Source organism: Homo sapiens, chromosome 7 (assembly GCF_000001405.40).
Source record: "Homo sapiens chromosome 7, GRCh38.p14 Primary Assembly".
Classification (NCBI taxonomy): Eukaryota; Metazoa; Chordata; class Mammalia; order Primates; family Hominidae; genus Homo; species Homo sapiens.
In genome coordinates, this window is record NC_000007.14 from 157,606,680 (window position 1) to 157,632,498 (window position 25,819).

General features: G+C 51.8%; 1 protein-coding gene and 2 long non-coding RNA genes across 13 annotated transcripts in view, besides 3 other annotated features; 1 reads left to right on the top strand and 2 right to left on the bottom strand.

The window, feature by feature from the left end:
• Window positions 1-25,819, bottom strand: part of PTPRN2 (protein tyrosine phosphatase receptor type N2) — a 1,048,768-nt gene that overhangs the window by 67,624 nt on the left and 955,325 nt on the right. For all 10 annotated transcript variants that reach the window (XM_047420678.1, NM_130842.4, XM_047420679.1 and 7 more), the window contains one exon: window positions 14,683-14,830. In XM_047420678.1, coding sequence (XP_047276634.1) covers window positions 14,683-14,830 — 148 coding nt within the window. The remainder of the gene's footprint in view (window positions 1-14,682; window positions 14,831-25,819) is intronic.
• Window positions 3,196-6,467, bottom strand: LOC105375615 (uncharacterized). Its single transcript, XR_928276.3, has 2 exons — window positions 5,459-6,467; window positions 3,196-5,214 (listed from the first exon to the last, which is right to left on the bottom strand). It is a non-coding gene; the product is annotated as an uncharacterized LOC105375615 (long non-coding RNA).
• LOC105375614 (uncharacterized) lies at window positions 7,260-12,092 on the top strand. 2 transcript variants are annotated; one of them, XR_928275.2, is made up of 2 exons: window positions 7,260-7,422; window positions 8,710-12,092. It is a non-coding gene; the product is annotated as an uncharacterized LOC105375614 (long non-coding RNA). The 2 variants fall into 2 exon arrangements; XR_007060624.1 differs by having other exon boundaries at window positions 11,661-12,092.
• Window positions 10,866-11,375: an enhancer, noted in NCBI's record as "H3K27ac-H3K4me1 hESC enhancer chr7:157410237-157410746 (GRCh37/hg19 assembly coordinates)". NCBI's record gives its function as "activates a minimal SCP1, AML or CMV promoter by ChIP-STARR-seq in naive H9 embryonic stem cells {active_cell/tissue: H9 hESC(naive)}" and the evidence as "EXISTENCE:reporter gene assay evidence [ECO:0000049][PMID:30033119]".
• Window positions 15,547-16,047: an enhancer, noted in NCBI's record as "H3K4me1 hESC enhancer chr7:157414918-157415418 (GRCh37/hg19 assembly coordinates)". NCBI's record gives its function as "activates a minimal SCP1, AML or CMV promoter by ChIP-STARR-seq in primed H9 embryonic stem cells {active_cell/tissue: H9 hESC(primed)}" and the evidence as "EXISTENCE:reporter gene assay evidence [ECO:0000049][PMID:30033119]".
• Window positions 16,048-16,548: an enhancer, noted in NCBI's record as "H3K4me1 hESC enhancer chr7:157415419-157415919 (GRCh37/hg19 assembly coordinates)". NCBI's record gives its function as "activates a minimal SCP1, AML or CMV promoter by ChIP-STARR-seq in primed H9 embryonic stem cells {active_cell/tissue: H9 hESC(primed)}" and the evidence as "EXISTENCE:reporter gene assay evidence [ECO:0000049][PMID:30033119]".

Consider the following 25,819-nt stretch of genomic DNA (forward strand, 5'->3'; position numbering starts at 1 on the left):
CAGAAGGAAGTGGCCCCAATCATGGAGCAGTGTGGTGGTGGTGAAGCTGCACGGACTCTGCTTCTCTACGCAATTCTTTCATTTTTCTTGGAGATTTTACTTACAGTTTTTAAAACAACAAATCCTAGGGCTTGGAAAACTTAGTGAGTGTTTTAACTGATTGAACTAGGAAAGTACTGTGCACTAGAGATCAATACACTCCAGGTTGGATGCTGTCCTGACACCTTCCTTCAGGTAGGAATGTCAGCCTCTTTCAGGGGTGACAAGATGGGATAAGATAAAACATCTAGAGAGAGGAGAAGAATGCATGTGTACATACGCACATGCTCTATGCAGCTGAATGCCTCAGGAATGTCATGAAGCTGCAAGTCATCCCATCAGCTCTGAACGAAGGTGTGAATGATGCAAAAATCCCAGGGACTCAATGGCTTTTAGCTCCTGCACAAATTAGTTCTTGGAGAGTGAAAATTGGCAGTGGCAGGAAATTGTAATACAAATCATCAGAAAAAAACTGGTTGACTCTGACATCTGAACACCCCACACACACTACTCCAAACATTGATTCCAGAAACCCAGTTTCACAGTGGGGCCACACAGACACCGCAGCCAGAGATGAGGCTGTGGTCAGAGGTGCTGGGCTGGGCCCGGTGCTGCAGCCCACACAGAGCGTGGGAATAAAAGCAGGGGCTTCTGGCTGCTTCCAGGGGCCTCTAGGGCCCTGCCTCATTTTCAGCACAGCCACCTTTAGGCACTTGTGAGACCAGCAACTGCGGACCGTTCTTACGTGTCTGAGAAGGCATTACCAAGAGCAGGGTCAGGAGGGAGCAGGGCAGGGAACAGGCAGCGCAGCCTGGAGCCCTCAGGCTTTTGACCTGGCTTGGTCTCGTGCTTTGATGGTGCCCACGGCACCCTGAGACCAGTGGCCTGGCCTCTACGGAGGGCAGAGGAGGCATCAGGGCAGCGTGCTGGGAGCTCCTCCTCAGCTGAGGGGTCCCTGCTGCCAGGCCCTGTGAGCAACAGGCCACGGGGAAAGTGGCCACTGCCATTGGACTCAGCAGACAAGTGCCAGCTGGATTTTCTCATTGGAAAATTAAGAAAATGCTTCCCTAGCTCGGGAGTCCTGGGGAGTTAGACATGCATTCTACGAGCCCGGCCCTCTCCTCTCGATGGCAGAGGGGGAATCTGCCATGGGCACCTGAGCCCTGCTGGCAAGTGGACAATCCATGGGCTTCTTGGTGGAAAATTGTTTTAGCCGAATTCATTTCCCCCGAGGTCACCCTTTAAAGATGGCACTGAGTCAAGGACCCGGCTTCCATGACTTCGGAGAGCTCCTACTTCCTGATCGCATATTTGATTTTGTGTCAACATATTGCTTTTGAAATTACCAGCGAAGTCTTTTTTTTAAAGAGACAGGGTCTTGCTCCGTCACCCAAGCTCAAGTGCAGTGGCACAATATTGGATCACTGCAACCTCCACCTCTCGGGTTCAAGTGATTCTCCTGCCTCAGCCTCCCGAGTAGCTGGGACTACAGGCACGCACCACTGCACATGGCTAATTTTTGTATTTTTAGTAGAGACAGGGCTTCACCATGTTGGCCAGGGTGGTCTCAAACTCCTGACCTCAGATGATCCACCTGCCTCGGCCTCCCAAAGTGCTGGGATTACAGGCATGAGCCACTGTGCCTGGCCAGCAAAATCATTGTGTTTGTAATATGGGGTCATTTGGAACCTCCGGGAAATGCTTGGAGCCATCCTGGGAGGGCCAAGGGACGCTGCAGGCTGTGGAGGAGGGCGGACTCTGATTCCTGCAGGGGGCGGCAACCGTTCCTCGTGCGGAGAGTTCATGTGCCTGGCGAATCTCTATTTTGTGATTCTCTTACTTTTTATGAGATGTTTTGAGAGCAAATAGGATGATGCCATCCAGTTCCCGAGTCCCCTAAAGGGCAGTTTCCTTGACGTGCGAGGCCTGTGGAGGGGTCTTCGTGTTCTATGAAGTGAAGGGAAGCAGGTGGCCTGGGGCCTCTCAAGGCCAACCCCAGGCTGGAGATGAAGCCAGGGCAGGCCCACGCGCAATCAGCCCTGGCCTGTGCTCGGGGAACTGAAGGCTGCTCCCTTCTGTTGTCAAATGAAATATCAGACCTCCCTGGGGAGGCAACACAGAGCAATGGCGGGAACCACAGGGTGAGAATTCATAACAGCCTGGGGCTCATGTTTCCATTAAGAACGGGTGTGCTCTATCAAAACCGTAGTCTGAGAATTTACTGAGAGGCCAGGAAAATGTGGGAACTCACGTAGAGTCTTCCTTCACCTGGCCCTATAACTGAGTTAATGTCATTGGGTTAAATTAACCCACTGTGCACGTTCCTTTTCTGACCCTTTACTGTGTTTATCATGCGTTAGTGCCTTGTTCAACAATATTTCAGGCCGGCCGCGGTGGCTCACACCTATAATCCCAGTACTTTGGGAGGCTGAGGTGGGTGGATCACCTGAGGTCAGGAGTTCGAGACCAGTCTGGCCAAAGTGGCAAAACCACGTCTCTACTAAAAATACAAAAATTAGCCAGGCGTGGTGGTGGGCGGCTGTAATCCCAGCTACTTGGGAGGCTGAGGCAGGAGAATTGCTTGAACCCGGGAGGCAGAGGTTGCAGTGAGCTGAGACTGTGCCATTGCACTCCAGCCTGGACAACAAGAGTGAAACTCTGTCTCAAAAAAATTTTTTTTTAAATATAAAAAAAAAGAGTATTTCAAATTTCTCAGATGTTCCATATTTTCACGGATTAGATCCTCTTCTCTCATCCTGGACCCAGTGGCCATCCTGGACCACGGACAGAACAGGGACTACTTTCCCGTTTTAGGCTGAAGAAACTAAGACTCATAAGGATGGAACGATTCACGTGGCCACGGCCTCGTGGTCCACAGGGGAGCACAGGGTTTGACTCCCAGCCCCACTGCTTGCCAGCGGGCGATCCTGGGTAAACTGTTCAGTGTTCGGAGAATGCAGGATGATAACATACAACTCACAGCACTGTTGTGGTAAATGGCACGCAGCAAGCAATGAGGAGCAAGGCTGAGATGACGGTGGACACGCACCCAACTGCGCAGGTCAGCCAAGCTGGCAAAGCGTGTTCTTGCTGCCCCGTGGTGGCAGAACATATGGAGCGATTTTTCATAGATGCCAACAGAAGAGACACATCCCACAATTTCTTGTTGATTATTACTATGGCAAAGAGCCTTGGGAGATGGCCCAGCTAAGCATGCTAGAGGACGCGGCGGTATAGTCATTAATCATGATCTAGAACCTCCCGTGCCCACCCCACTGCATCTGAGGAAAGCGTGTGGAAGACTCCTCTGCCCGGAACATCGTCTTGCTACACAGATCCCTGAGGACGGCATTCCCCCAGGCCTCCTGGCTTGCTGTCCACACTCAGGAAGCTGCTCTGCAGGGCCAAGAATCTGCCTCCCACCAGCACATGGGCTCCACGGTGCTGCTGTTTGGAGGATGCGTGAGGCCATCTGTGAAGCCACTGCTGAGTCCAGGGGCCTCACGGAACTTGGCAATGGGGTTCCCTCCTCCCAGGGGCCTCACGGAACTCGGCAATGGGGTTCCTTCCACTCAGGGGTCTCAGGTGTTCTCTCGGGCTCTCCAACTGCCTCTGCTTTCTGTGAAGGTTTAGGCTCAGTCATTTATGCTGGCAGGAGGCCCTCTTCTTCATGTTGATGGTGTGGCCTGTGGAGAGGTGGAGCCGGTGTCTTGCTCCTAGAGGGAGTCCTGACTCCAGCAGAGAACATGTTCCGGGATGTGCTCCACAGTTGGCACCAGCACCCACAAGCTCCTGCTCCGAGTTTATGGTGTCCATCGAGGTCTGAGGGCTGCAAAGGCACATCCCGGGGCTGCTGGCCGTCAGCAAGGGCCGTCAGTGCTGCTTAGGGATCCCAGCGGCTCACACACAGAAAGGCCTTTGAACTTGTCATAGTTGAGGCAAAGGAATAAATGATCGGACCACGTTTGTTTCAATACTCTGAGAAGCTACATGGGCTTGATTCTTTGCAGACCTGGGCACTTGAAGACCAGCAACAGCGTGATGACAGAACGCATTCTGAAGGGGCAGGTCCTCTTCCTCCCACACGCTCCTGTCCTTAGTCAGCAGGCAGACATTCTGCTTCCAACTATGCCTTTGGGAAATGCTCAGCTCAAGCTATAAAGCTCATCGAACATTTAGGAAAGTCAGCTGAGTGTCATTCAGGGCCTCCGCAGCTCAGCATACAATGCTGCATCTGGGCAGACTGGGACAGGCTGGGGCTCATATCCAGAAAGCCCTGCTACATCCAGAGATGGTCATGAAAATGAGACCTGCCCCACCCACCACTCAGGAGGCACGCTGCCCACCGCTGAGCTGAATAACCGAGCGCGAGGCTGGTGTCCGGCTTCCACACTGGACGCGTCAAAAGCAGGTCCCAGAGGAGCAACAGTGGCCCCAAATGGCATGGTCACAAGGCTGGTTTAGTGTCTCATGTCTTAAATGGTTTCACTGGCATCCCCCACAGACAGATCTCTCAGAAAGTCGCCCCCCAATGGGATCGGAAGCATGTTGGGCAGGTGACCTGGGGCAGGTGGACTAGAAGGAGCCTCAAGCCCTGGGGGATTCCCATACCTGAAGCGATTTTAACCCACACTAGTCTCATCTCAGGCATCTGTGTAGAAGGAACTCCCCAGGCAGGGCTATGCGGGGGCAGAATGCAGGGGGAACAGACGCCAAAGGTGTGTGGGGGTTGCCGTGGCCAGGCAGCGCCCGCCCAGTCACTGAGCTGACTTGGAGGCACCAGGTCCCAGGGTTGAGCTGCGTACCCTCCCCCAAAAAGACACACTGGAGTCCCAGCCCTGGGAACATGACCTTATTTGGAAATAGGGTCTTTACAGAGGTAAGCGAGCGGAGGGCATTTGGGCGGCCCTAATGCAATATGACTGGCGTGCTGTTAGGAAGAAGGACTCTGCACACCCACACGGGAGGGAGAGCGCCCGTGTGAAGACGAAGACAGCCGCGGTCATGCTGGGGACACGCGGAGGGAGCGCGCCCGTGTGAAGACGAAGACAGCCGCAGTCATGCTGGGGACACGCGGAGGGAGAGCGCCCGTGTGAAGACGAAGACAGCCGCAGTCATGCTGGGGACACGCGGAGGGAGAGCGCCCGTGTGAAGACGAAGACAGCCGCAGTCATGCTGGGGACACGCGGAGGGAGAGCGCCCGTGTGAAGACGAAGACAGCCGTGGTCGTGCTGAGGAGCGAGGCCTCCAGAGAAGCCAGCCCTGCTGACACCCTGACCTCCATTTCTGGCCTCCGGAATGGGAGACAGCCTGCTTTGGCCACATACACTGCCCATCCCTGGCGCTCTGTCCCTGCAGCCCTCCAGGCCCAGAGCACCTGGAGCGACCTGGGTTTGGCTTCCCATGCCCTGAGCAGCACCTGGTGCCTGCACGGAGAAAGCGCCGCCTGGAGCCAGCCTGCAGTTGTGGAGTGTGGGCAACCCAGAGACCAGCTCCAGACACACAGCGAGGCGTGGCTGTGTGCGCTGGTGGCGACTTTCTCGCAGGAACTAGAACAGTTTGCTGTAACAGGAGCACAGATATCAGACAGGCAGGGCCACGCTGTCTGCACGGCTCCACCGAGAGGCCGTCCATCGACACTGATGACGAATCTCGTCTGTGCGAGCAGCGCAGATGAGTGTGGCGGCGGCAAGACAGAGACACAAACGGCTGGGGGGCGCCTCCAAGGAGCTGAAACTAGGAGCAGGGGGCAGCTCACACGCCTTATCACCAGGACACAGGGTATCACCAGAAGAACAGCTCTGGCTTGTGGCTGTGCTGCCTGAGATTAACGCCCGTTTTGTGGATCGGGGGCAGAAGCTGCACCTGTGACCGACGGTCTTGGGGCTGCCAGGGGAGCCGCAGAAGGCAGTGACCTCTGACCCCACAGCACGGGGCGCAGGGCAGACTGTGCCAAGCAGGCGCGTCTGGAAAAGTAAGGGAGGAAATTCGGCGGGAACCTACACATTAGCTCCCTAGAGGCGTAACTGATGGGCAGGTGTGGAAAACGCCCAAACAGCTCGCGGGAGCAACTCACTTCCGCCGCACGGGAGGGGTCGCGGTCAAAGGGCATCCACAGAGGCGCTGGGGTGAAGCGGGGAAGCGGGTGGGAGCAGCTCCGGCGGCACACCCCGGCCAGGGCAGGGCCCCCCACACCCCACGGCAGCCGAAGGCCCCGCCTCCCCGCCCGGGTCTGCGGCTCCGTGAAGACACAGCAGCTCCGGAGGGTTGATCTCACTGACAGGGAGAGTCCCTGAGGAGGGGCCGGGGTGCTTCCGGCCTGGGTGGCCGGAGGAGGAGGCAGGGAGAGCCCTGCGGCTGAACAGGGCAGCGCCCCCCGCATCCGGAGGGACAGGCCCGGCCCCGTCTCCAGTCCCGCCTCCCGCCTCAGCCGCAGAACCTCGGTGGTTCCTTCAGCTCCTGAAGCGGTCCGCAAACAGGTCGAGGGCGCTGACGAGGCCGTTTTCTGGGCTAAGCAGCGACGGCGCTAGGCGACTCCGCTTGTCCTTCGTTTCCGCTGTCAGCTCAGCAGGTGACTTATTCCCAGTGCTGCTCTTCTCACAGACACAAAACCAACAGTTCCGGTCTCTTCCGATAGTTCTGGCAGAGACGGCTGCGGGGAGACACGGGCGGAGGCGGGTCCGGGCGGGCCCCACGTCGCGCAGCCTCAGCGTGTTGCGCCTCCCGCGGCTGCGGCCAGAGACTTCCGCAAACCTCGGGGCCTCAATCGACAGAACGTGTCACCTCAGGCCCAGGAGAGCAGGGTCCGGGGCGCGTCCTCAGAAGCCGGCAGGGCGGGCTCCTCGCTGAGCCGCAGGGCGAGCCCGGCTTGGGCCTCTTCCCGCGGGAGGAGGCCGCCGCGTTCCTTCCCCGGTTCTCCAGCCGACCCCGCCGCCTCCGTCTCCCACACGCAGGGACCCTCTCCCGACACCGGCCTGCCTGGAACGTGCCAGAATCGTCTCCCTAACCCGGCGGCCGTGGATGAGCAAACCTGCACCCGCGGCAGCCTGAACTGCCGTTTGTCGCGTAGTCCTCGAGTCTCGGAGCGCAGGGGTCCCGAGGGCACCCCGGGCCGCCGTCCTGCGGCCCCCCCACAGTGTGCCGGGACTCGGGGTCTCTCACCACGAGCAGACCTCGGCGCTGCTATCCGGACTCCTCGAGCCCCTTACAGGCCACATGGCCAGGGGCGACCCTCCCGTCACAACTGTGACTCTGTGAGCTCACAGGGCTGGCCTCCACATTCTTGCTGGTGGAAGACCACAAGCAACGGGATGCCTTGGAAAGCATCGTTCTGCAGCAGGACTGCTCAACCGGCCAATCAGAACACAGGGAACCATGAAAGAGGTGGGAGGAGGAAAAAGGAGGACGGAGAGGAGGGGGAAGACAGGGGAGGAAGGGGGAGGACAGGGGAGGGCCAGGGTGGAGCTCAGGGCCAAGGCAGGGTTTGAAGTCTGTGGCCCGTGGCAAGGTCGCAGAGCAGGCTGGTCATGTTCCTACAGCATCGTGGAGACCTGTACACTCCGGGTTCTTGGGAAACGGGGGTTCTGGAAGGGGGCAGGTGAGCTTCTCGTGGGCTTGCAGAGTTCCCTACAGACTTCCACATGGAGAGTCTGTGATTGTTTGGAATGGGAAAGTGGTCACTAAAAGAACAGCTTTATTAGGTACCATTCATATCAGGAAAAAAAGTCAGGGACAGCTGTTTCAAAATTAAAAAGACGAAAGAGACACAAAACCCAAAATGCAATGATGAATCTTGACTGCATCCTGGTGGAAAAAACAAAACAGACAACAGATAACAGACCGTGTTGTAGAGAAAGCGGCGGGAGTCCCTGGGAGTGTGTGATAGCAATGGCGCTGTGGGCTGAGCTGTGCCCTGATGCCCCTGTGTGACGACCCCAACCCCCAGGACTGCGGAGTGTGGCCATGTTTGGAGACAGGGCCTCTAGAGAGGCCAGTAAGTGAAGGTGAGGTCCTGAGGGGGGGCCTAGTGCAGTGGGTCTGCTGTCCTTAAACAAAGGGGACCCTTAGTTACAGACAGCACCTGCAAGCCCCAGGGAGGGCCTCGGACACGGCCAGCCCTGCCACATCCTGGACCGCAGCCTCCGGCCTCCAGGACTATGGGGAAATGCAATTCTGTGGTTTCACCTGCTCATCTGCTGTCTCCAAAGCCTGGGCAGATGGGCACAGCTGGGTGTTAGAGGGCACTGAGGGATTGTTGTTAATTTTCTTAGTTATAACGGGGCTGCAGCTACCTAGGAGAAGGCCCTTGTATTTAGGACCTGCAGGCAGGCTAAAGTATTTGGACGTCATGACGCCTGATACTTACTTGAAGTCGTCCAGCCAGAAAATAAATGAAGTGCTCGCAGGTCACGCTAATACGGCCAACACTGGGCGGCTGGCCAGCGTGGGTGGTGGGTGTGCAGGCGATGCCACGCTACCCCTTCCACTTGAGTGTTTAAAACTCTTGTAATAAAAAGTGGGGGAGGAAGTCATGCTAAGCCAGCCACACTTCTGCTCCAGAGAGGGCCCTGCAAGAGCGGTGTGCGTGGGTTGCGGCTGGGTCTGCGCTGGGGTAGTGTAGGCTGCACTCTCCGGGGAGCCGCTGACCTTGGGCTCCCTAACCTCCTTCAGCCCCAGCTCTGTCCCTGTGTGAATCTCAGGGCTGTTTCGAGGATGAAAAGGAGGTGTTTAGCCCCGAGCCTCACGTGGAAACATCTGATGAGCCTTTGCCAATATGCTCGGGACCTGGGGACGGCTGGGGTGACCCCATCGCAAGGCCGGGCCGTGGAAACAATCTCAGCCCTGGAACCAGCGCCTGGGAAGTCCCGCGGTGGATCCGCGTCACGGGGGAGGATTGGCTCAGCACTGGTCCTGCGGAATGTGTTTTTATCAATGACTTGACGACGTGAAAAACATGTTTATAAAACGAGCAGATGGTGCCGAGCTGAGAGGGAGGTGACGCAGTGACTCAGGAACCACAAGCTCTGGAGGCTGAACGAGAATCGGTTACAGGAGATGAACACAAGGCTCGATTCTCCTGTTAAACTTGACTGTCACCAACGGGGGGTGGGGGGTGCGCGAGGCCCTGGGCTCCACCGAAGACCTTAAGGAAAAGACTCTGGATGTTAGTGGGTTCGGCCTCAGAATCAGCCGGCGCTGAGATGTGCACCTGGCAGGATGAACGTAACTTCTGGTGGATAAAGTGGGAGGCCTGATCCAGGAAGAAGCACACCGTGGCCTGGGGCCCCTCTGGAGGGTAGGTCTTCCAAGTCACGGGAAACAGGGCGCCCAGGAGACGGTGAGCCCGGCTGCTGCCACCCCGAAGGCCAGGCTCGCCCCACACTGTGAGACCCTCCCCACACGAAGATTCTGTAAGCGGAATCGGAAGGAGGATGTGAGAAGGACGGGTAGCCATGCCACACCAGGCCAGACATCTTACCAACCTATCGGTTCAGTTTTAAGAAAGAGAGCAAAGAGGATCTAAAATCTGAACTTTGAGCAGCTGAACTGTGTGGAGTATCAACGTGGCTCCTGACAACCCCACCGGCACTGTTTCTTTGCACTGGAGGTCCTGAAGAGCTCACGGAAGGTGCACTTGCAGTTGTAGTTCAGAGATGATGCTTTTAGACAATCTTTCCCTTCGAGAAGTAGCCTAATGAGAAGGACTCTGTAGATCTCTTCCTAAAAAAGAATCCTCAGTCTCTGGCAGAACAGCTGCCCAGAACAGCTTCTGCCTGTGAGGTAGCAAAGAAAAAGGCCCACACAGAATTTGCTGGGATATTTTCTTTCCAACACCAACAAACCGACAGCCTTCCCAAATCCTAGGGCAGAGTCGGCTGGCACTGAGATCAAAAGGGGTGAAGGGAAGGCAGCCAGGCTGGGAGTCTCTCTCCAGCAACTTTCTTGGCGAGGTGACATATATGCCCAGAACCTTTTTCTATGGAAGGAAAAAGAAAACCCTGGCTTAATCATCAGAGTTAGGAGAATCACCCACGTATTCATCTTTAAAAGCAAATCATGATAACTTTTGGTCACTCAGAAGTAACCAAGGCAAAATATTCCTCTTAGGGGACTCTGTTTAGAGTTTTGGGAGAGAAAAAAAAAAAAACTAAACCAAAGGTTTATTTAGAAATAAATTGTTTTCTGAGTATTCTAAGGAAAGCTATGCTTAGCCAAAGTGCTTCAGCCCTTGTACATGTTTCAAATACTTCTGTAGAAGTTTGAAATGGACATGGATTTTCCCAACACACACGCACAATCTCAGGTGAGCCCAAGACAGCCTATGAGGATGGCACTGGGGAGTCTGGATTTCAGCTCTGACGGGCGGGCTCTAAACCCCAAAGTTCTTGTCGGCCAAGTGGGGGGGTTTCTTGTGAGGACCAGAGGTGGCACATCCACGGGCATGGGGGACGCTGGCTCACGATGCCCCAGTGATGCCGTGGTTAGGACACTGCTCACGCAGCTGCAGCGCAGAGCACGGGGGACGCTGGCTCACGATGCCCCAGTGATGCCGTGGTTAGGACGCCGTTCACGCAGCTGCAGCGCAGAGCACGGGGGACGCTGGCTCACGATGCCCCAGTGATGCCGTGGTTAGGACGCCGTTCACGCAGCTGCAGCGCAGAGCACGGGCGACGCTGGCTCACGATGCCCCAGTGATGCCGTGGTTAGGACGCCGTTCACGCAGCTGCAGCGCAGAGCACGGGCGACGCTGGCTCACGATGCCCCAGTGATGCTGTGGTTAGGACGCTGTTCACGCAGCTGCAGCGCAGAGCACGGGGGATGCTGGCTCACGATGCCCCAGTGATGCCATGGTTAGGATGCTGCTCAAGCAGCTGCAGCGCAGGGCCAGTGTGGTGACCCTGACTCCTGGGAACGGTGATCAGCTGGGCCTCTGCCTCACTGGACCACGCTGCAAGGCAAGGGCCTGGGAGATGCCCACAGCCGCGCCTCTGGCTGTGAGGCAGCTGTGGTCCTCCAGCAGCAATGCCCTCAGAAGCTGGGAGATGTGAACCCCACATGACTCTCCTCCTTGCTGTCTTCCTGTCCCTGAGCCTTCAGCTCTTCGTTGTCTCTGTCTTGTCTCTCTGCATTGTTTGTCCTGGTTCTCTCTCTCTCTCTCGTTATTACAACATAGAGCCAAAAATACTTTTTTGTTTAGGATATGGCACCAAAATAGTATCATATCCCTGTTCTTCATCTGAAATGCAGACAAGCGAAATGCTGCATAATTCTTTTTTAAACATTCAAAAAACAGAAAATGCATGTTAAGTTCTTTAAACTTCTGAGATAATACAACTAGACCTAGCATGGTGCCAGCCAAGCATTGCATAATGTGTGTTTCCTTCTCCTTTGGGGGCTCATTCCGATCAGGGTGCATCTGGGAAGTCGGGCGACTGTGTCCATCTCCTGGGTGGAAGAATGACCCAGGGAAGTGCTCCATGGGGAAGGCGGGGCATGAGAGAAGGGAGGGGTGGTCCCGAGGACCCTTTCCATAGACCTGGGAGTTCCCGGTGAGCACGCGGAAAGGACGCGGTGGGAGCGGCAGGTGCAGAGGGAGGACTTGAAGGTTCCATCCCTAACAGAGGACAGCGTGGCCGAGTACTCATGCTTCCAACCCTGCACAGAGGATAGTGCATGCCCAGCATGCAGACTCGCTTCCATCGCGACACAGAGGACAGCATGGAGCCCAGCTCGAGTGCCGTCCCCCCACCATGACAGCGCAGCATGGGCCTTCCAAGCCACAGAGCCACAGGGAAGCCAGTCCTCCTGGACCGTGTGTGGCTGTTTTGGAGCCAGTTGTGTCCTGTGAAGAGCGCAGCGGCCGCAGGTGAGGCAGGAGTGAAGATGGAGGAGGCGGCCATCTCTCTGGGGCCTGGCAACAGCGAGAGCTTTTGCCAAGCCACTGTCTCCCGGAGGACAAGATCTCCTTCCCAAAAGCAAGATGGCCAAGAGTATGGAGAAGAAAGTAGGTAATACAAGTTTGCTCAGAATAAACCTATGTGTTCATGAAAATATTTCTATCTAGGGTTCTCCCAGGAGGTGAACTTGCCGTTCTCTGTCTTCCCTGGTGGCCTCTCAACCCTGAAGGGCAGTGCTGTGTCTTCACACCCTGGCACATGGGTCGGGAGAACCCTGGGAGGAGGTGCAGGCAGCTTCTTTCTGGCTCCAGTGCGAGTCTCGGGAGGGAGGTGCTTTCCCCCTCACCCGTCACCTGGCTCAGAATGGGCAGGGCTGTCCTGATCCCCATGAGAACATCAGGCGCCCATCCACATGTGGCCACCCTGTTGGCACCGGCTGCTACCTGGGGAGGCTGCCTGTGTCCCATCTGAGCACGGACCACTTCACCATCACTAGGTCCCTCGCCCCCAACCCCCCCATCCACACTGTACAGACAGAGCCCAGAAGGCTGCAGGGCACACGGGAGGAAAACCCCATCGGCAGGTCGTTTCTGCCACGCTCCGGGCTGTCTTTGGGGAGGGCGTGCTGTCAGATGAATATTTACCATGAAACACCTCACAATCTAAGTAAATGACCAGACACACAGAGACATATAATGCACGCTTACTGCATGGCTATTTACCACGAACCATTCTCCACTCAGGACTCAGCAGGATACCCGCTCACCACCACCCTCACTTGTCCTACCACACCGGCTTCACTCCCCGCCCTCTCCTCCCCCAGGCTGCTCCTCTCTGAGGACAGTGGCCAGGCCCCCAGAGCCTGTTAGTAGCCCCCGACACAGGGCCGGTGCTTAGTAAATATCTGTTAGTTGGCTAATGGGATGTATTGTATTTTGCTTTTCTTCTAAATATAAAATTTATAAATCACACAGCTTCTGTTTTTAGATCTCTTTAGGGTTAAAACCCTCAGACCTCATAGAAACTGGTCTGAACACTAAATGGGTAGCAAGAAGCGTGCACCCAGCTGGGTGAATGGGATTTTACACAGGTCTGCAGTGCCCCAGGTTAGTTTCTGAAGCAAAACAAGATTCCAGCTTCTCACTGTTCTGACCTGTAACACTTCCTGAGGGCTGGAAGGAGGGCAAGGGCAGTGCCTCTCCCTGGCGTGGGGGGCTGTGCTGCTGGTACGGGGACAGGCGGTGTCTCAGGGACACCAGTCTGATCCCTTGACCGGCTCCGAAGGGTTGAGGCAGGGACACAGTGACGGAGAGACGGCCTCGGCCACAGGGGACACTGGTCCCGCCTGATGCTGAGCTGAAAGTGAGTGTGGCCGAGTGGTGCTCTCGAAGTGTGAGCTGACGAAGCTCCCTCTGTTGCATCAGAGACATGCGCAAGGGCCTTGTCTTAGGGTCCTCAGGAGAGTAACTAAGAAACTCTACCCACACTGTCATTTATCATTCATCACTCAACGTTGTGAGTATCTACTTCCCCCTGAAACTCTGGTCAGGAACATATCTAGGACCCCCTTCCTCCTGGCGGGTGGGTTTATAACCAATCAAAGTGTGGAACCTTCATTGGAACCTGCTATACACATAGAGGATGAGTGAGGTGGACGCCAGCGCCGGGCAGTCCTTGCCCTCCTCATCTTGTAAGCAGCTTAGTGCCTCCCGTGCTGTGGGAACACGAGGCGGTGTCTCTTCCAGTCCACGAGAGTCACTCGGAGAACTGCTGGCTTATATTTCCATTTTCTGGCAGTGATCCCTAGCTAGGTAGTAGGTGCTCAGTTTGTGGAAATAATTGTAAAGTTAAAGATGCTGTAAAAGCAACCACTGTTGATTGTGTGCCTGCGACGTACCGGTGCTATGCTAATGACCTCGTCTAACCCTTACAGCAGTAATACTTCAAGGACGACAGCGTGACCCCAATTACAGATGTGACGTGGAGGCTCCAAGAGGTTCAGGAACATGTCTCAAGTCACTCGGTGACAGAGAACAATAGAGCTGATGCTCACTGGGGTGCAGATGTCCCCAGGCCCGTGCTGGAGGAAAGGAAGACACTGGTTCCTTGTTGGTTGGGCTGGGGATGGCATCGCAGAGGGGAGATTCCCAGGAGGGCCTTCCCAGAGGGGGCAAGTCTGCTGCAGGCGGGGGGTGCCGGGAAGGAGAAGCGGAGGGCTTTGCAGACCCTCAGGATGGGGCTGTTTCCCCCGCCTGTAACCCAGGCCTCCCTCCCCGGGGACTGGTACACACAGGTCAGCATGGCCAGTTTCCCCCGCCTGTAACCCAGGCCTCCTGCCCCCGGGACTGGTATGTACAGGTCAGCATGGCCAGTTTCCCCCGCCTGTAACCCAGGCCTCCTGCCCCCGGGACTGGTATGTACAGGTCAGCATGGCCAGTTTCCCCCTCCTGTCACCCTGGCCACCTGCCCCCGGGGCTGGTATGTACAGGTCAGCACGGCCAGTTTCCCCCTCCTGTAACCCAGTCCTCCCGCCCCCGGTGCTGGTATGTACAGGTCAGCACGGCTAGTTTCCACTGCCTGTAACCCAGGCCTCCCGTCCCCGGGGCTGGTACACACAGGTCAGCACGGCCAGTTTCCTCCGCCCGGAACCCTGGCCTCCTGCCCTCGGGCCTGGTATGTACAGGTCAGCACGGCCAGTTTCCACCGCCCGTAACCCAGGCTTCCTGCCCCCGGGGCTGGTACGTACAGGTCAGCACGGCCAGGGAGCGGTTCTTGGGCACGTTCTCCTCCCTCTGGGCCACGAACGAGCTGTTGGGCTCCGCCTGGTAGGCGCACAGCGCTTCCCACTCCTTCTCCAGCCGGTTCTTGTTCTTCAGGTGGTCCTCCATGTAGGACTGAAAGGGAAACACAGGGTCAGGAGCGCACCTAGGTGGTGAGCCCAGACCGGCAGATGCACAAAAGGCAGCGGAGGCCTTTGCACTCGCCGCGTGGGCCATGCCCACCTTGCTCACGAGCCTGGGCCATGGTGCGACGTTGTGCTACGGTGCACAATGCATATCATACCATGCAACCGTTAAGTGAAATATGTGCATTGTTAACACACATTTTACATATGTAAATATAAACTCCGGTGTTTGGGAATCAGTTTACCGCTGAGATGACAACAATTATCACATGCTTTAACGACAGGGCCAGGGAGCTCAGACCAAGCTCTCGGTGGGGCTGCTCCGCGTGCCCATTTCTGCTTGCATGGAAGTCATTTTTCTTAAAACCGGCGCACGTTTCTGAACCCACTGGGTGTGATGCAGTTGAGAGACTGGGCTGCTCTGATCTGTGCAAAATGCGGGACAGCTTCTAGCATGAAACAAACACAAATGGATGGAAGCAAATATTTTAACCCTTGGCTGTTTCGATCTTAATTTTTCTGGTGCTTGTCGTTGAGCATTACTATGAGTAGACAAGGAAACAAAGGCCTCCTGAAAATTCCCTTCCACAAAAACCCCCATGCCGCCAGCACAGCCCACTCGGTTCTTATTCATCTGTACCGTTGAGAACAAGCCCTGATTTTAAGAAAGAACATTTCAAAGGACCAAACCCAGCTGCACTATGGCACCACAGGAAGTGACGGCCTCGTCTGCTGTCACTCTGCTTGTGGATTTGCAAGGTACTGTGTGTCATGTGTAGACACAGGTTCCAAGTGTGTCCACACGAGAAAATAAAGCATGCATGTGTACACATGGTCCTTTGCTGCAAAGCGGCCACGCATTCCAATGTCAGGCCCGGGGTCCAAGCCCTTCTCACCTTCTGCCCACCCCCTGACATCCCCTTCGATTGATCCGAGGAGCTGGGATGGTCCCTCCCTGCCCACTGGGGCCCGTTCCAGGAGACAGGTAGAGAAAGAGACACAGAGGGAGGGAGGGCTGGACACGGCGAGGCGGGAATCTCAGGTCATCGTGCCGTCTAGTGGAAGTTTTGACCACAGCCAACCTGAACCCATGCAGCAAACACACACCCTGCTGTGCTGGCCCAGCTCACACGGGAGCAGGTGCATCGGGCACCTGTGCTGTTTGCGCGACACCCCCGCATCTGGGTGGGTGTGGTGGTGAGGGACAATCGCCTGGCTCAGGGTGGGCACTCTAAGGCCGTCTGTTGGGAGGTCCCAGGTTGTCACTGTCACCCCCACCATGGCCCTGCTTGAGCTAGTTGGGAAAAGCAGAGGGACTCCAGTGCCGTTGAGAAGCCGCACCGACTGCCTGCTCCACGCAGCGAACGCTTTTCCCCCACCACACCTTGAGCCTTGGGAGCACACCTGCGCCAGGAACAGAAACATCAGGGCTGCTCTGAGCCAAAGCGAACGAGTTCATCTACTCCCGTCACCAGCCCCGACACCCAGGAAGCCTCGTGGTTTCCTTGTGCATGGAAGAAGCACCCCACAGAGATGTCTCGAGTTGTGAAATTAGGCAAAATTCAAATGGCTCAATCTAGGAAATGCTACACATTCTTTCTTTTGAGACAATCATTATGGAACATCAAATTCATATTTTTGTACCAAAGTTACCCTAATAGGAAAAACATTTTTGGATGATATAATATTTAAGTTTTGTGAAAATACTGACCAGCTCATCTAGCCCAAATCTGGTGTGTGAGGGAAGCTGGGAGGTTGATAGTTATGGTGAAAGGATAGTCCCAGTCTGTTTCTGTGGCTACTTTTCTCAAGTTGGGCTTACGTAGAGTTCTACAAATAGGTAGGTCGAAAATGGTTCCTGGCAAAATCATTCTGGGTCCTAGCTTTTCTTTGAAAAATGCTCTTTTCATAAAATCCATCACAAACAAATGGGCTTCCTTCAGTAAAACATGATGGGTTCTAAAATGATGAACCCTAGCAGGTTTAATCCAATCGAAAATATTATCTGCAAAAGAGGCACTGGATATTATCTTAATTCGTATAAACTACAGCTATTTAAATTCTCACATTTATCTTAACTATAGGAAGCAAAATTACACTCTAAGTTCTCTTGAATTTCTAAATTTATGGCAAAAATATAAACTGAGCCTGTGTGGCCCAAGGTTGGGTGGTAGGAGGGAGGAAGAGGTAGATACTGACGCGATGTTTTTTCACGGAGAATGAAGTCATCTGCAGAGGCACGTGACTCTATTAAAACTGAGATAGAGCTGACATCTCTCTGCACACGCCACTCCAGTGGGCTGTGTTTGTCCCGTTCTGCTCATTTCAATTTGATCTGTTCTGTATTCTTCTATCAATATTTTTTATGAAACATCCTTTGTGATATTAAACTGATGAAATATCCCCCAACTACATCTTAGGAGTCTTTTTTCTCTTTCATGGCTTGTAGATAAGATGCTTTTCATCTGTGAGTCTGTGGGGAAGCTAGGCCTTCATAGCAAAGTAATGTTTTAAACAATGAAAGCAAAACCAAAAGGTACCACGGGAGCTTAGTACAGATGCTCCCCTACTTATGATGGGTTATGGCCCAAGAACTTCTTAAGTTGAAAGTGCATTGAGGCCGGGCTCGGTGGCTCACGCCTATAATCCTAGCACTTTGGAAGGCTGAGGCGGGTGGATCACCTGAGGCCAGGAGTTCGAGACCAGCCTGGCCAACATGGTGAAACCTTGTCTCTACTAAAAATACAAAAATTAGTCGGGCATGGTGGCGGGCGCCTCTAAGCCCAACTACTCGGGAGACTGAGGCAGGAGAATCGCTTGAACCTGGGAAGCGGATGTTGCAGTGAACCGAGATCGCATCATTGCACTCCAGTCTGGGTGACCAGAGTGAAACTCCGTCTCAAAAAAAAAAAAAGTGCATTGAACACAGGTAACCTACTGAGTGTCACAGCTGAGCCTAGCCTGCCTTACACATGCTCAGAATACCTACCTTCCTCTGCTGCTGGGCAAACCCATCTCACACAAAGCCTACTGAGGATAAAGTGTTGAATATCTTACATGATTCATTGAACACTGAACTGAAAGTGAGTAACAGAATGGTTGCATGGGTACTTGAAGTTCAGTTTCTATTTAATGCGTGTTGCTTCTGCACTGTAAAGTCAAACCATCATAAGTTGGGGGCCGTCTATACTGTGGTCATCCTGCATGTGAACTTGGACAAGTATAGCAACTCTACTCAGACGTCTTCTGGAATTATTAGGAAATTAACATGTAATTTAAACAGTATTTGTGGCTTTTCCCTGGTAGTGGGCATTTAGCTATAGGTGTTTTTAAAACTGACATTTAAGCAAACAAATCAGTAAGAAAAAAAAACACAATCCTATCAAAAAGTGGGCTAAGGACATGAATAGACAATTCTCAAAAGAAGATATACAAATGACCAACAGACATATGAAAAAATGCTCAACATCACTAATGATCAGGGAAATGCATATCAAAACCACAATGCAATACCACCTTCCTCCTGCAAGAATGGCCATAACCAAAAAATCAATAAACAGTAGATGTTGGTGTGGATGCAGTGAACAGGGAACACTTCTTCGCTGCTGATGGGAATGTAAACTAGTACAGCCACTATAGAAAACAGTGTGGAGATTTGTTAAAGAACTAAAAGTAGAAATACCATATGATCCGGCAATCCCACTACTGGGTATTTACCTAGAGGAAAAGATGTCATTATACGAAAAATATACTTGCACATGCATGTTTATAGCAGCACAATTCACAGCTATAAAATTGTGGAACAAACCCAAATGCTTATCAATCAATGAGAGGATAAGGAAACTGTGGTACATACATATGATGGAATACTACACAGCCATAAAAAGGAATGAATTAACAGCATTTGCAGTGACCCGGATGAGACTGGAGACTATTCTTCCAAGTTAAGTAACTCAGGAATGGAAAACCCAACCATATGTTCTCACTAATATGTGGGAGCTAAGCTATGAGGATGCAGAGGCATAAGAAAGATACAATGGACTTTGGGGACTTGAGGGGAGGAGAAGGAGGGGGGCGAGGGATAAAAGATTAACAAATATGGTGCAGTGTATACTGCTCAGGTGATATGTCACCAAAATCTCACAAATCACCACTAAAGAACTTATTCATGTAACTAAATACCACCTGTACCCCAATAAATGGAAAAAAATCATAAAAAAGTTAGCTCAGAAAAAAAACCTTGACATTTAAATTCTTTTATTTTATAGATGAGTGCATGTGTGAGAGAGTGTGGTGGTGGGACGGCTTAGTTTCTTAAGGCACTGCAACTTTTGTTACATAAATAGCATATGTAGAAAAGAAAAGAAAATGAAGATAAGCAGAATGGCAACGAATAACCCCAGGGCCCACAGCAAACTGTAAGGCAACCTTTTCCCCCAGTGCTGAGTACCTTCATTTCAGCTTTGGACATCCTCAACAGAATACAATTTACTGCTTTAAAGTGAAAAAATGCAGAGATGAGGCTCACATCTTACAGATAAGGAAACCAAGGCCTAGAGAAGGTAAGCAATTGGTCCACAGCCCCCAGCAGCCAGTGGCAGCACCAAAGCCTGAGCCTGGCCTCTGAAATGCCCTGTGGGTTTTCTCCTGGCCCGTCACTGCAGCCTTCTCGCTGATCTTCTTACCATCGCTTCCCCTTTCCAGTTGCTTTTTCACTGAACGACCAGGTTGGCGTTTCTGGTGCAAAATATAACCTATTTAAAAAAATTACCAAGGGTGCCTAGACTAGCATTGTCCTTTTTCTGAATTTCCTTTTACTAATCTGATACTTTCTATCCCATAAGACTGCTTCTCAGCCTTTGCCCCGTCCCCACCGCCATCCTTCTCTACATTTTGTGCTGATTTTTCTGTAATGAACCGACCCAGACTTCAAGGTGCAGTTCAGACAACACTTCCTCCTCCAGGAGTCCGGTCAGGACATGCCCATTACCTACCCCACCCCATGATCTTTCTTCCCTATAACCCACCCCCCACATCAAACAGTTACTACTTCAAACATACGTCTCTGTGGCATTCGTCACATTCTTCCTGTTGCTTTAACTGTGGGTTTCAAGCTCTGATTCTTCTCATGAGATTAATTTTTTTAGGGCAGGGACTGTGTTTCAGCTGCTCAGCACAGGCAGCAAGCACTCAGCCAATATCTGTGGAATAATAATGCATAATCTGGAAATCTCTACAAGTGATTTATATTATAGGTAAACATTTTATTTTGATGATGGGCATCCAAAACACTGCCTTTGAATCTTCTGAAACTTGGAAGAACTTCTCCAAAAAGGAGCATAAGGAACTTGGAATGTTTTACTATACATGACCTTGCTGCCATCTTCCTTTCTGGGGTTGCCCAGCAAACATCACTGTAACTCATGACAGACAGGTGTCAGCTCATTGAGTGTTCCTGTAACAACCTGAACCTAACAGCAGTCGTATAAATTTGGAAGGGCAACAGTTCAGAGAGCTCTTCTCTACAAGTCTCCTCCACAACTCTTCTCCTTTTTTCACATCTCCCTCATTCTCCACAGTCCAGGTCCCAGGTGGGGTGCTCCATCTCCCCTGGAGCCTTCTCAGTGGCCTCCAGGCACCAGTGTGCACCGCACCTGCAGCTGGGTCTCCTCCGGGGCGTGAGCTCCTGGTGGTCAGGGACCCCTTCTCACACCGTGTCCCACTTCACACAGCTCCTTGCTCTGGGCTCTCCGTCAGTGCCTCTGAGTTGAAGCTTTATGAAGAAAGCTCTAGAATGAGCTGACTGAGGCTGACAATACCAGAGGGAGTGAGCCAGTGAAGGCGGGATTGCACCACAATGCGTGCTCACATCAGGAAATCCATGAAGAGTGAAAACAGGGAGCGAAGAATTGGTGGTGAATCTCAGTCGATGCAGGCTGAAGTGCTTAGGGAAGTTGGAGTTGCTGTCTGTTCCCTGATCCTTAGGAAGCGTTTGGAGGTGTGTCTTTCGTCTTTTAGAGCTGCTTGCTCTATAATTTTGGGTTTTGAAGGGCTCTTGGCTGGGAGAACTCAGTCTGACATTTTCATATTTTTAAACTCCATTAAGGGAATTTTACTTAAGCTGTTTCTAGATAAGCCCTGAGTGAAAAGGTGTCTCCAACCTTCTCAAATTCTCATACTTCCTGAGGGCCTAGACATGATGTGCTTGTGGAAGAGTGAATTCCTAGATCAAACCATTCATGGAGAAAGCTACGGGGACTCAGGAAGTGGGTTTCCCAAGGGTGTTGCCAACATTCACTATCTGACGTAGATCCCAGAGCACACGACATCCACACCACAGCAGCTGAAGATGTGGCTGCATTCTTTTTCGCGTTCTCACCCTTTGAGAATGACACCATCAGCGCTCACATAATCTACTTTGTTAGAGATATGAACTCAATCTAAGGTTTCCCCTGTCATCCTTCTCCCGTTTCTGAATCCATCCTGCCAGTCCCTGTCTCATGGTGTTTTCTAGCTCATCCTACGAGACCATTTAGGGTTGGAGCATTAAGGACAGTCACTGGGTCACAAGACTGGGTGCTGCTAGACGGGTTTTGGAGGAAACAGCCTCCATGTGTCAGGCAAACCAACTGGCTTCCACATTTAATGGAATCATTATACACAGAACCCCAAAATTTGTGTAACAAAAGTGTGATTGCCATGAACACTTTGAGGGAGAATGTGTTCACAATGTATTACATAGCACAAATGTCGTCAGCACCGTCTTCCGGTCAAATGGTCAACACCTTGAGGTCAAGGGGCTGATTTCTAGGAACACGGAGCACAGACAGTCCAGAACACAACAGTGTCTGTTAACGATTGCAAGAGCACCTTCTCTTCAGGAGAGGAACCACCCTGTCACTCGCAGAGATGAACATGGAAAGGAGCTTCTGTGGAACAGGAACGCACATGAACACACTGGGAAGGCACTGGACTTTGTGTTGATAGAGTTCTTAACAGTCTTACACAGAACGGTGTGGGTCCCTCCCACAGCTACTTTTTGGCGTGGAGCCTTCCGGCAAGTCAGGCCATCTGACTGAGCCCCACGGGTGCACCCCTTCGTAACCTGGTCATCACAGCTCACAGGGGAGAGCCAGAGTCTATGTTCCCAAGGAGGTTTTGAGGGGTGATGCGTGAATATGGGAGACACAGTAGAAGGTGTGTGCCCGGGGATGGGGTGCGGGACGGTCTCAGTGTTTCAGTAGAGGAAGAGGGTACTGGAAAGACTCCTGAGTTCCCTCCCACGCTCTGTGGCTGCACTGCGGTTCTGGGGAGACTCTTATCCTCTTGTTTAAGGAAATACAACATGTCCACTCTCTTCTGTTCACTTCTTTTTTGAAGAGGGAAATATTTCATGGCCTGTCTTCAGGAGAGGAAATCCTAGGAAATGCCTGTTTAAGAGACTATGTGACACTAAACTGCTAGTTAACAAGGACAATTTCTCCGGTGGGAAGAGCACACCAGCATCCCGTGTGCATCTGATGCAGGACCCGCTCACACGAAACATGCTCGCCTTCCTGTTGGCACCAGGAGGAAGTGCAGCTGCCACCTCTGAGTACTGGGGTAGTGCATCTGGAGACTTGTAAAGGGTCCAGATGTGGTTCCATGTGAATCCCGTCCACAGGCACTGGGATCCTGGGTCAGCCAATGCTGATTCACCTGTTCCTGCAGACCCTGCTGCCAAAGACACCGCAGAACCCATGGGGAGGCAGAAGAAAGGCTGGAGCAGGTCAGTGCTATTTCAGCTCCATTCAGAGTCACAGAAATTAGGTTATTTTGGCATCTATCTGTTGGCTGTAACAATGAAGAAGTGAGATACTGAGAGGTGCAAGATGATTTATTATTATTATTAAAAATAATAATGAGAATAAACTCCCACCATGCAATACTAAAACTCCTAAGGAGTCCTAAGGACTCCTAAAACTCAGTGGACTATTTAAAAATGAGCAAAAGCCGGTCCATCTGGCATTATTTCTCATCAATCAAACCACTCGTGCAGTGGAAAGTGAGTCCCCACGGATGACTGGAGGCGCCCATCATCACTCCGTGGGTCTTCGGATATGGGACGAGTGGAAACTGTCCTGGTGAAACTTCGTTCCTACAACGATGCTGCCAGCAGTGGAGACTTCTTCCCACTGTAGAACAAGGCGTGTTAAAGAAAGCTGGGCTTTGGGGAACCCAGTCATTACTGGGAAGGCTATACTTCTCTTTTCTACAATGGCGCCTATTGCAGCACAATGCCCTTTAATTTACTGAACATTACAATCAAACCTTTTGTTAAAACGAATAATAGAATCCCTTTACATTTTCCTTCTTGTGACGAGACCACAGGTTTGTGTGTTGAAGTCACAAGTTAGAGTAATGCTTTTAAAAGCAAGGACTAAGCTGCTTCCACTGCCACTTGGGGAAATGATGACCTTTTCTTTCTTTAAAAATAAACACAGTCACCTGTCTTCATTAATACATGAACGGGAAATATTCATGTTAAATTTTTGAATTCCAAAAGTAGGACAATTGAATTCCAAGCAAAACTGTGAAAAGATGAAAGGAGAAGTTCGATGAGGTTGATTGTCCTGGCTCAGCACACACAGCTATGGGGGCTTCGGGAGCAGCAAACCCTTGATGAGAAGGTATTTTATTGTCTGTAGATTGCTGCATCTGGCATATTTTAAATATTATTTGTTAATATTATGCAGCAGGAATGTTAAAATATTTAAAATTAGAAATTCAAAGTAGTACATGTGAACACAAAGAAGAACAGATAATGGTTAAAGGATCAGAAGATAGTTTCACTATTTCTTAGTTTAAGAAAGCTCTTCCTGAAACAGGAATCCCGACCCATACGACCATATTCAACTTGCCATCTCACTCTCAGAAAGCAATGCCCACAACGTGAGGCGGCAGGGAGTGAACCGGCTTCTTCACCATCCCGCTCCTCTAACACACCGTGTGCCCGTCACGGCAGCACCTTTGACTTGCCATGGAATTACGGGTCTTACTCAACAGCTGAAACAGGCATTGTTCCGGCTCTCCAAACAAGCAACTTGAGATGCAGGGCAGATATGCACACATTACCAAAAGGCACAGGCCCATGGCAGCCAACTCGAAGTGTGCCTGCATGCCAGGGTGGAGTTTGCTCGGGAGAAGCAAACACACGGTTTTGGAATTCAGCCTCTGGGTCATCCGTACAAAGCCAAAAAGAAGTAGAAATGGGACCCAAGGAATTAACAAGAGTGTGTGAAAGACCATTCATGGGGTCTTCTCGCTTTTGATCACATTTTAAAAACTGCTTTCCTGACAACTTGTTTGTAAGGAGGAGGCATTCCCACACGTATCTGCAGTAAGTCATATGCTTCCCTTACCGCAGGGAACTGGGAAGTGGTCAACACAGATGAAACTGGCAAAAGCCTCCTCCTGTGGGCACCACAACTGGCTTCCCTGATGGATGTGAATTAATGCCATTTATTCCAAGCTCTTTCTCTGAGAGTTTTGTCTCCAGCTGACCTATTCTGAGGACCACCTAGAATCTCTGGCAAGCCCAGAGACCCTTGAAAACTGTTCTCCCTGCGTCTTAATGTGACTTAGAAATCCATTTCCATTCTTTGCCTTGTTACCAATCAAACTGTGGAGTAACAGAAAATTATAAACCATTAAGGTAGTGGAGAAAAGTTCAAATACTTCAAAATGGAATCTTCCGGAGAAAGTCCCCAGTTGGTATGCAGTTCGGGTGGAGAAGGTGAAGTAGCAGCGGCAGGAACAAAGCGTAGAAGGGGAAACAACGTGTGGTGCGTGTTGGTTTTGAGACCGGGAACGCTACTGAACTATCTGCTTTATTTAAAACTTTTTCATCATTGAAAAATAAATTCACTCACTGAGAATTAAGAATCCCAGCACTTTGGGAGGCTGAGGCGGGCGGATCACGAGGTCAGGAGATCGAGACCATCCTGGCTAACACGGTGAAACCCTGTCTCTACTAAAAATACAAAAAATTAGCCAGGCGTGGTGGCGGGCGCCTGTAATCCCAGCACTTTGGGAGGCCGAGGCGGGTGGATCACGAGGTCAGGAGATCGAGTCCATCCTGGCTAACACGGTGAAACCCCGTCTCTGCTAAAAATACAAAAAATTAGCCAGGCGTGGTGGTGGGCACCTGTAGTCCCAGCTACACAGGAGGCTGAGGCAGGAGAACGGCGTGAACCCGGGAGGCGGAGCTTGCAGTGAGCCGAGATTGTGCCACTGCACTCCAGCCTGGGCGACAGAGCGAGACTCCGTCTCAAAAAAAAAAAAAAAAAGAGAGAATTAAGAATGCCCTTCAGATAAGGCTGTCAAGAAAATGACATGCTTTTTTCAAAGTCCTGTTAGAAAAACACTGTAAGAGGACAGATTCCTTGCCTCTAATAGAGGCACTGGGACATGATCACAGACCTTACGTACTTTCCGAAGAGCAAAGGGAAAGGAAGGTTAACTCTTTGCAAAGTGGTGTGTTAAGAGGACATGAAAACTGGCTCTATCTTGATTGAGTAGAAACTTTAATTAGTGTATTTTTATTATAATTTGGCTTTTGATGTTCCAAATCGATAACAAAGTCCAGAGTTGTAAGAAATCACACTGACAAAGGAGTTCTTACACAATGCCCAGGTGACCTGCAGGGTACTTCCTGGAGTCCACAGCCGGCCCAGTCTCTGCCTCACCTCTAGAAGGACTGCATGAAGACCTGCGATGCGTGGAAAGGTGGCCTGGTGCACCAACGCCTGGTGATCCTCGATTTCAGTTTATGACTTCCACTAAACTTCTGTTACACATTTACAGAAAAATATGACAATTTGATAAAGACTTAACAACAAAAACCCCAATGGAAGATGTTAATAGTGAACACATTGTGTTCTAGAAATGTTCTAATTAATAAACTTAAAAAGATAAGTAATTTTTTCCTTACCACCTA